Here is an 11,397-nt window from a genome sequence, read left to right on the forward strand (position 1 = left end):
TGAAACTCCAGAAAACATACAGATCAGGTATTATTTGCTGGACCAATAATGACTGGAGTACTAAAGTGATCGGAGTGGAAGTTAGGTAGTAAATTAATTAATACCAGAGACTAAAACAAGGTATAAAAAACACAATGACAGAAAGGAAACAGAGTTATCTTTTGCTGAACTTAGATGAAGATAATAAAAGTAAAAGTTTGTCCTAAGTGAAAACGTAAGTCAAGTCACAAGAAGAAACCAAGAATAAAACTGCGTCATACATAAGATTAAATGCACAATTATACACAGAGTAAGAGAGCATAAATATTCCATGAGTAGTCCCAATAGCAATACCAGTTATAATAGTCAACAGAGTCTGGAAAATATTGTAGTAAAAACAATGAAAATGTATCAGTACTTCAAAAAAGAAAGTGAGATGTTTCTTCTCCATTGCAGGTATGCATGAAACTTTGTTTTTATCCTCTGCCTATTTTCTAATCTGACAGAGGTTCCACCTTCTGAAATCACACTCGTTAAAGCAGCAGGAGGAGAGGACATCAATTACTAGGAAATGTTGCTTAAATACTTCATATAATTTTCCCTCATATCCCTTTGGTCATAGTGACTCATATGGCCACTGCCAACATTAGTGATGATATGGTTTGGCTCTGGTTCTGTGTCTCCACCCAAATCTCACCTCGAATTGTAATCCCCACATGTTGAGGGAGGGACCTGTAATCCCCACGTGTGGAGCTGCAATCCCCACGTGTGGAGGGAGGGAGTTGACTGGATCATGGTGGTGGTTTCCCCCATGCTGTTCTCATGATAATGAGTGAGTTTTCATAAGGTATGATAGTTTTTAAAATGTCTGGCATTTCCCTTGCTTTCATTTCTCTCTCCTGTTGGCATGTGAAGAAGATCCTTGCTTCCCCTTTGTCTTCCACCGTGATTGAAAGTTTCCTGAGCTCTCCCAAGCCATGCTGAACTGTGAGTCAATTAAAACTCTTTCCTTTATAAATTACTCAGTCTCGGGTATTTCTTTATAGCAGTGTGAAAATGGACTAATACAAATGGATATTGTGATTATCTTTTATGTCGATAGTTTGAGGAAAATGTTAGTAATGTATACTATAGCAGTGATTGTGGTAGGTGTTCTGTAACCATTTGTTATAGGCATCACAACACACTCAGATTCATATGCTGAAGTCCAAACTGCCAGTACTGCAGAATGTGATTGTATTTAAGAGATAGGGACACTGAAGAGGTAATTAAGTTAAAATGAGACTAATAGTGTTGGCCCTAATACAATCTGATTGGCATCTTTATAAGAATAAATTATGATGTATGGGGAAACAGGAGGGGTGTGTGTGCGCAGAGATACCACTATGTGAAAAGACAGCAAGAGGAACATCATCTGCAAGCCAAAAAGAGAGGTTTCAGAGGAAAGAACCCTGATCGCACCCTGATTTTGGACTTCGACACTTTAGAACTATGAGAAAATAATTTTCTGTGTTTTAAGCCACTCAGTCTATGAGATTTTGTTATGGCAGCCACAGCCAACGAATATACCAGTTGTACTGAAATTATTGGCCATTTCATAGATAATAGACAATGTTTGAGATTCTTATTATGAGAACCACATGAGAAATTTTTAAATGAAGCAAACAACTTTATAAAAACCTGGCAAATTATTTAATTATTTTCTCAAGTTAAACTACCTTTCTATGAACATGGCATGGTCATTCCTACCTCTGGGTTTATATGTTATATTTATGCTGCTGTGTCAGTTTCCCATTGCTGTTGTAACAAATTAACATGGAATAGTGGCTTAAGGCAACACATATTTATTCATTAACTGAAAGTTCAGGAGGTTAAAATTCAAATTGGGTCTTATTGGGCAAAGTTGAGAAGTTAGAAGAACTGTATTTCTTCTGGAGTCTCTGTAGGCTACTCTTATTTTCTTTACTGTTTCAGCTTCTAGAGGCCATCTGAATTTGGAATTTTGAACCTGTCGTTCATCTTCAAAGGGAATAGGGTAGCTCCTTCCAAAATATTTCAGACTCTAAAGTCTGTTACCACATCTCTTACTCTGATGTTTCTGTCTCTGTTTTAATTTCATTTACAAACACCCTTGTGATTATGTTGGGTCTGCTCTGATACTCCAGGATACTCTTCCCATCTCAATATCCTTAGATTAATCATATCTGCAATGATTCACCATGTAACATAATGTATTCGGGGTTTCCAGAAATTCAACCATTATTCTATCTACCATATATACCTAGAACATTCTTTTTCCCCTTTGCACCTTCTTATAATATAGATCTCAGATTATTTCCTACTCAGGAAACCATCTCTTGCCTTAGCGAACCCATCAGATCTCTGTGTTATAAATGGTTATGGTATTTTATGTATTTCCGTTAAACTGCTTAAACGTAATCACTTGATATAAATAATTCTATATTTATTATTTTTTCTTGTTTTTCTTCATAGAACATATGATGGGAGGGACAAATTCTGCCTTGCTCACTGCAGTGTCCTGAATGCCTTGCACAGTATTTTAGTGATAATATTTAGCAGATGAGTGTTGATTAGATAAAAAACTCACACTGTAATGAATATCTATTAATACTTTAATTAGAATGAATTTATTTTAAGCATTTTAAATATATTTGCAAACGATCGGTGTTACTTCAGAAAATAAGAAAATATTTGGAGTCATACAAACCTATGGCCAAACCTCACTTATTTAGGTCAGTTTCTGGCCATACAATCTTATACAAGATATGGAATGATATATGTAAAAAAGGGATGGTTACATACTCTAAGATTCTTTGGCAATTAAATATCAAAAGTAGCTCCTGTAGTTCCTGGGCACATTTTGAGTACTAAACGAATCACATTCTTCAAAACCGTTTTAACTTGAATAAACTTTATATTTTCTATCATACATTTTTGTTCTTCAGTATTTTATTGTTCAGTTGTTAAAATCTTCATAAATTCACGTTGTAATCATATAATTCTGTGTAAATCTAGCCAAATAACAAGAGGTTCCTATAGTAAATTTTAGGGCTTTCTAGGGCCAGATCCATTGTAAAACTATACTCCAAAACAGAATAAATTCACACATATTTTAACTAGGAAATATAGCAAGTAATGAAAGTCAAAATTGCATATTAATGTATTTAAATTTATAAGCTTATATACTGATTATGTTCTTTATGAATTCTATGTATGTTATTGAAATATTTAGTCTAACACTTGGATCAATTATTATTTGCTATGTGTTTTTCTTTTGTTAGTAGACATAGGTGTTTGGCAGATCAAAAATATGCCTAATTAAACTGTGAATCAAAACATCTAAAACTTGGTAGATGCTCAATAGATGCTGGTGAATGAAATATATGACTTAATATTATATCATATCATAGTTAATATAATTTGGTATCTATCAAGCATCAGGGGAAAAATTTTATGTCTCTCAAAAGACAGAAAAAGTTCACTCATACCCCATTATAATTATTGCAGACAATTCTGATGCCAAAAGAAAATGGTTTACATTTCTGTGATCTTAGGTAAACTAATATAAGCTATGCAAAACTAAACACAGAGAAAAGAAATTCATTTTTTAAAATGCTGAATATATTCATTGCATTTGTAAAACTGGTGCATAATTTGTTGTGAAGCCATAGATGCATGCATACCTTAAATATTTATAAAACTGACTTTATGTCTTAAAATGTTTTTCTATATATAACAGTGGGATTTTATTTCTTCTATTTTAATCAATTACTATTTTTAGGCAAGGTCTTTTTATTGATGCTAAAATGTCAGGGTTCCTGATGATGTCTATTAATCATGAACTTTATGAGATGTGCTACTAAGTGTACACTTTTTAAATAACTAGGTCCGTACCACTTGATTCAAAGTTGGAGCATGTATTCATCTGATATGATGTTGTATTTTGGACAAAAATATTTTGAATTCAGCAAGTATAGTAAAAATTAAACCAAGAAAAGTAATTGAAAAATTTAAATCTTCAGGTAATTAACCTCAGGGTCTTCTTCTACTAGAAGAAAATCAAATACATTTATTTATATTGTACTATAATGTAAATATAAATCACACTAAAATAAAATATAATTATATTAGCAACTTATGTATTTAATACATTTTCTATATTCTTTGTTTCCTATGCAATAAAGATGATAATTTAAATGTTTTGCAGATAAAATAAAATAATGCTATTTTTAGTTATTTTGAATTTTTAGTTGCTTTCTTTATTAAATAATGATGAAGTGAAACCAGCTCCCTATTTTCTGCTATATAGACACACAGCTCCTCCTACAGCTATATGTTATACTTAAAAATTTAGCTATTTTTATTCTCATAGTCTTCCAATAAATGGTCTCTGAAATAGTATTAAAATAATAGTTTTCTGTAGTTGATACTTTGGAATATTGCTGATGTGAGTATTCATTTTTACTCATTTATTTTGTAATTTTAGATAAATGCTATACATATTCAATGTGCATTTCTCAAAGTAAGCATGTAGATTTAAGTTAATAGTTAATATAGCTTGAGGCAAAATTATTATCAAAATACTTTATAAATGCTTCAGCTGAGCATTTTAATACACATCTGAAACAAGTTAAACATTATCCCAAGAGTTCACTCTCAATTAAAGCTTTAAAAAAGAGATAACATAAATTATAAATCAGTATTGCACAAAGCATAGTATTATAATGTCATGGTTGTAAGAACAATAAAGCTTTAAATTTCCCTACAGGCTACTCTTGCCTATTTGGAAATGTTGTTCAAGTTATGCATTGCCTAAAGGGATATATTCGCTATGAACAATACTTTATAAACAAATTGATGTTCTGTATCACAAGTTAGGATTTGATTACTGAAAATGTATATAATGTAAAGCTAATTATAAAACCCCAAGATTTAAATGTAGTTTTTTCAGGGATTTACATTTTTTCTAATTAGGAAGAGGACTTTTCAATATGCAGAGAGCTAGCATTGTGCTTCTACGAAATAGTAAAATAGCTCAAGCCAAGTAACGCTTTCCAAAATTTTTCTCTAACATTTCTATGTGGCTTTAGAGAAATTCCAAAATAGTGCTTAGGATCATATTCTACATAATGCTTATGCCTAAATGAAAATATGCATCACTTTTCTTTCTGAAAATGTCTTTTATGTATAGAGATGCTGTATTTCTAATTAGTGATTCTATAATTAGCAATCTAATTTTGGCTACTCTTGAGAAATAATAAAATGAAATTTTCATTTGCCATTTAGTTTCCCCGGGAATTTCCCAGCCATGCTAAATGACTGCCATGGAGCCACAGATTGAATTGAAAACAAATGTCACACACATTTTTGTGACTTGTAGAATGTCATTAACATTTTGTAAAAAAAAAATAACATATTCTCTAGTCTTCAAGGTGTTTATTATTTTATGCCTCATGATTCTTTCTTATTACTTTACTACTCTTCTTCACTAACAAATTCAAAGCTTTTTAGGACAATCTTTATATCTTAATAAACAAGAATATTAGAAGCTAATGTAAATATTTACCTACATCTCTGAAATGTTCATATCCCTTTTAGAAATCTTTTCACACACCACTTTGTGGTGCTGTGACTATCTAATAAAATAAAGAATAAAACCCTGTCATATAAACTCTACAATGTAGAGCAACGTTCATAGAATGGCATGCTGTGAAAAAAAACAAAGTACTTTTGAAATCAGGCCAATTGGAGTTTGACTACAGTCCCAATATGCTGTGTAACTTTATGACCTTTGCTCTCTGTACTTCCATTTTCTCCCCTAATAAAACATCAACACCCTTTCTTAGGATTATTTATTTCATGAAAAATAGGCAACTCCATGCCTAGCACATAGTGCTGTTCCATACTTGTATTTCTTGGTTACTTTAGAATAAAGTAAAAGTGGAAAGATTTCTTAGATGCAATATAATCTTAGACTTGATAGTTGAATGGAAAATTACAGCAGAAAGATGAGTGGAAGCAAAGATAAAATACACAAAGCTGTGTTGAAACAAACAATTACATCTATTACCACATACAAAATGACTACAAGTCAAAATGAATAGGCTAGAAACGTTCATAGTAGTCAGGTTACGAAGAGCCAGAGGAAAAGATGTGGCTCTTACACTTTAACATGTATCTAATGCACAACTATGGGAAAAATTTAATTACAAAATGGCTAACATTTTGGTAGAATTCTCTCACAGTCCTATTATTTGATTACTTCATCATCATTTACTTACTTGATAAATACATTTATTAATTTATTCAACTCAAGGATTGATTTATCAAAACAAAGCAAGTAATGAAGGCAGGGAGAATGTCATTGTGATAGCAAATCTGAGACATGCTGAGGGATTGAGTTTGGTCTGTGTAATAGGGAAGGTGGGAACAGTATTTCAAAGAAAGATTTAAGGTGTAGTGGTGTTTGTAGGATTTCAATAAGTAATAATCCTGTCTCCTTCCTCAAATATTCCTTCCTTTATTTAATAACACACATTAAACATCTGCTATGTGACAGAACTCCGTTAAGAAAATGTATCTGTTATGTGACGTAATTCCTGCTTTCAAAGACCTGATACTTTAGAAGGGTGGTTCGAAGGCCAAAAAAAAAAAAAAAAAAAAAAAAAAAGACTTATATTTATAAATACTATGAAAAAGAGATAAATAAAGATTACATATTTTTTGGAGAGCAGTTGCAAAAATTATCTCAGTGAAGATGGCATTTAACCATAAACAAAATATTAAAGGAGTAAGTCACACAGTTATCAATGACAATAGTGTTCTAGAAAGATGAATCAACAAGAAAAATGCATGTAAACCATGACCAAATATGTATTTTGTTTAAATCAGTAGTTAAACTATTAGGATTAGAACTGAATAAATGTGGTCAAATAGATGGAACAGAAAGTAACAGAAAAAGCAAGGAACCAAAACAATGTAAAAATTCGTACAGCATGGTGAGGAATTTCATTTTTATACACAGTGAGATTGAAAACTTTTGAACGTTGTTAATCTTATAGATTACTTTGGTTTCCATATGGACTAGTTTGTCAGTAGAGAATAGACGTGGTTATATCGACCAGTGGTTTATTAAAATGGTCCAGGGAAGAAATGTTGGCGGCTTGGACTGGAGTACAGCATAGATGCCATTACAAGTGTTATTTTACATATATTTAAAAGGAACCTGCCATAGGACTTATTGATAGATTGCTTAGACTAGTGATAAAAAGAGAGAGGAAAAATAGAGTCAAGATGAATTTTGTGCTAAGAATATAGCAATTCATTTAATTGACATAGGGAATTTTGAAAGAAAAGTTTTTTTTCTTTCGTTTATTTTCTTGAAAGGATTTTTTAAAAATTGCTTGTGGATACATCATGACTATATTATCTATTCTATATATCCTGTTACAGATAGATAATAAGTCTAGGGCTCTGAGCATAAAACGGGGCTATAAATAAGCATGAAGGAGTCATCAGTAAATAGGTGATATTTAAAGACATGTAACTAAATGAGTTCCTCTAAGGTTTGAATGATCAGATGCAGAAGAAGGAGAGTGATCAAAATGTCTGCTTTATCAATAAAATTATATTCAATAGGAGATGTGAACTTTATGCAGAGCTAAATTGTATCTTCTTTTATAATACGCTTCTGAATTTAAATTGTCCTTTTGCCAGTGTCTGAAGCTACCTTGCAAAACTTAATGCATGTCTGAAAATAAACAAACAAACAAACGAAACGACCAGAATGCACCTCTCTGCAGGAATGAGCTTCAGGAGAGAGTTGAAGAGAAAGGTTTATAACTAGGCATTTTTCAATTAACAATTAGTTAGGGTATTCCTGACAGTAAAGTAATGAGGAGTAAGGAGAGAGAGAGATGTTTTTCTCGTGTGTTCTTGTCATGATTAGTGAAAGAATAATATTCTAATAGTGATGTCCACTGGCATTAAAATATAATTTCAGAAAGGAGATAAGGCTGAGGGAGGAATTTCTGTTAAATCTCTGATTTTCTTTGAGGGTCTATAAAGAATAGCTATTTCACTACATAACAAGGGTGCTCAAGAGCGACATTTATTGTAGTGAAAAAATCCCTAAAATTATCTATTAATGGTCTCATGGGGGATTAGAACAATATTTTCCTAATGTGTTCATGAAATAACACACTTAGAAATAACATCAGTTTATTTATTTATCTGAAACTCAAGATTGGTCTCAGATGTAATTGATCAGCTGAGGAGTCAGTGTTGCAACTTAGGCCACCCCAAGGGATAAGAGTAGCAGTATATTAGACATATATTAGACATACTTGTTTTTTTTTTTTTTTTTTTTTTCTGAGACAGAGTCTCACTCTGTCACCCGGCTGGAGTGCAGTCGCACCATCTCGGCTCACTGCAACCTCCACCTCCCTGGTTCAAGCGATTCTCCTGCCTCAGCTTCCTGAGTAGCTGGGACTACAGGCGCACGCTACCACTCTCAGCTAATTTTTGTATTTTTTAGTAGAGACGGGTTTCACCATGTTGGCCAGGATGGTCTCGATTTTTTGACCTCGTGATCAGCCCACCTCCCAAAATGCTGGGATTACAGGCGCGAGCCACCAAGCCCGGCCTATACGTACTCTATTTCTAATTAAGGCTTATCAGTATACCCCAATGACTCAACATATTATTAGAAATTTTAGAATTTAAAAAATTGTAGAAGAAATAACTATTTCAAATATTGCCCTGAACAAAATAGGACCCTTGCCCTATAAATAAAACATATCTTATTTTACATTTACCATATGAAGAAATCGTCCATGAAGTGTATTCATCTACAGATACCTATTTAAACATGTCTAGTGCCTCAAAAGCAGAGGTGTTTAATAGTAAGCAAAAATTACACTCATCATTTGGCCATTCAAATAACACTCATTATATAACTAAGAGAAATCAATACAATTACTATGTATCCACACTTGACTGACCTTGAATTGAATGTATTGATACAGAAACTAAGCATGTTGCAATGTCTTCTTAATGCTTGATGAACTCCATCAGGTGTAATCACTTCTTGGCAGATTAGAAACGTCTTACTCTTTTCTCGGCTCAACACATCTTCCAGGCATTCTTTAAAACATGTAATTGTGCTGTATGCATATCTATTGAACTCTGTCTAATATTCTGAGGTGCCTGTGCCTATGGAACAATAGTACAATACTCTTTGGAGCTGCATGCCTGACCAACCTTTTAAGAGAAAATTCTTTATAGAAGCTCAGTTGGTACACGGGCTTAGGTTGGGGATTCTATCAGAAACTTCTATTAGACTTTTAAATGTTTGCCACTTTGGGACTACTACACTCAGGCCTGCCTTTGGCAATAGAGAGCAAGAGTACTGGCATCACTTTCCCGTAAAACACCTACAAGCCCATATTTTGAAACATTTTTAAACTTATAATAATAACTGAATACATTTGTAGTTTGTAACTTATAATAATTGGATACATTTGTAGTTTGTAACTTATAATAATAATTGGATACATTTGTAGTTTGTTATTATTATATTAATAATTAAAATATATGGAGAGTATATACATATATTCTTTTTGAATGAAGAAAATGAGTTTAAAAATTTCTCTGGGTAAAGTCATAAACATGCTTAAAATCTAGACAGATATATCAATAACAGCTCTTATAGAATGCTATTTTCAATAATCCTTATTTCTGTATATTTTTTACATGTTATATATGCCAAGATCATTTACTGCATATAATCTCTGAAATGAGAGCTTTAAAATTAGTTGTGCTCCTACTGTTTCACTTTTTAACTCTGTTTCCAAGTTACTAAAGCATAAGGATTTTAGTTGGTAATCCAGTCTGAATGATGTTTCATTACAACTTTGAAGATTGCCTAATTTGAGTAGGGGATTATTTATATTTAGAGCAATAGATGAGGATCAAGCTTAGAAACATAAAGTGTGTTAAGATAACAGAAGTACACTGAGGCTAACTTGTACCTACTAACAAGTTAGTTAGTGTTCACCCTTTCTCAACTCCATGTTCAGTGATGTCACGTGGGTAGCATTACATCAGCCATGGTGGAAGAATTTACAGTACAGAAATGGGCAATACGGTGGACCTTTGAATAACAGGTTGTGAAGTACTCACGTCCATTTATAGGTGGATTTTTCTCAACCTAATGCAACAAAAATATATTTGTGGTATAGAAAATCTCACAAGGATGACCGCAGGGCTTGAGTATGGACATTTCGTATATGTAGGGGTCCTCTGAAACCAATCTCCCATGTATTCCCAGAGATAGCTGTAATTACAAGTCAGTTCCCTTCTCCCTTCCACCTCAGGGTTAGATTTTAACATTTGCTACCCAGCCATCAATCACAGATGTCCTGTGTTTTATTCTTGACAGTTTAGGTCAATTTTGTCCAACCCATGGCCCATAGGCTGCAAGCGGCACAGGACGGCTTTGAATGTGACCCAACACAAACTTGTAAACTTTCTTAAAACATTATGAGATTTTTTTTTGGTGATTTTTTTTAGCTCATCTATTATTGTTAGTGTTATTGTATTTAATTTGTGGCCCAAGACAGTTTTTCTTCTTTCAATGTAGCCCAGGGAAGTCAAAGACCGGAAATTCCTGGTTTAGGCTATATTTGATACACAGTAAATGAAATTAGAAAATTTTATACAGCAAAAATTTATTTATGATTGCTTCAGAAAGAGTAATGTGGAAGCTTTTCTAAGTGTAAATGAGAGTTTTTAAGGAACTAGAGGCAGAGGGCAGGGCAGTGGTTGCTGCAGTATCCTAAAGAAGGATTTGTAAATCTCCAGTTATGGCAGGAGGGCAAATGAAATGAAGAGAGCTTCACAAATGTGTGTTCAGAAAGGTTCATGGACACATACCAGGTTTTAAGCCTAAGCAGCTCTTGTCAACAAATATAGTAAAATTGAGAGGAAAGTGATTTAATTTATAATGAAATAGACATAGGTATATAGATACAAAATCACATGGAGCAGAGAGACTATGTTGTACTTTTTTTATTATTATACTTTAAGTTCTAGGGTACATGTGCACAACGTGCAGGTTTGTTACATATGTATAAATGCGCCATGTTGGTGTGCTGCACCCATTAACTCATCATTTACATTAGATGTATCTCCTAATGCTATCCCTCCCCCCTCCTCCCACCCCAAGACATGCCCCAGTGTGTGATGTTCCCCTTCCTGTGTCCAAGTGTTCTCATTGTTCAATTCCCACCTATGTTGTACTTTTTAAAAAAATATTTCATTCTGGAAATCCTGAATTGGCCTCAAATTATACTCATGAAGGTAGTCTACTCTGCAACCATTCTCTGAGCATAGCAC

This window comes from Homo sapiens, chromosome 13 (assembly GCF_000001405.40).
Source record: "Homo sapiens chromosome 13, GRCh38.p14 Primary Assembly".
Lineage (NCBI taxonomy): Eukaryota > Metazoa > Chordata > Mammalia > Primates > Hominidae > Homo > Homo sapiens.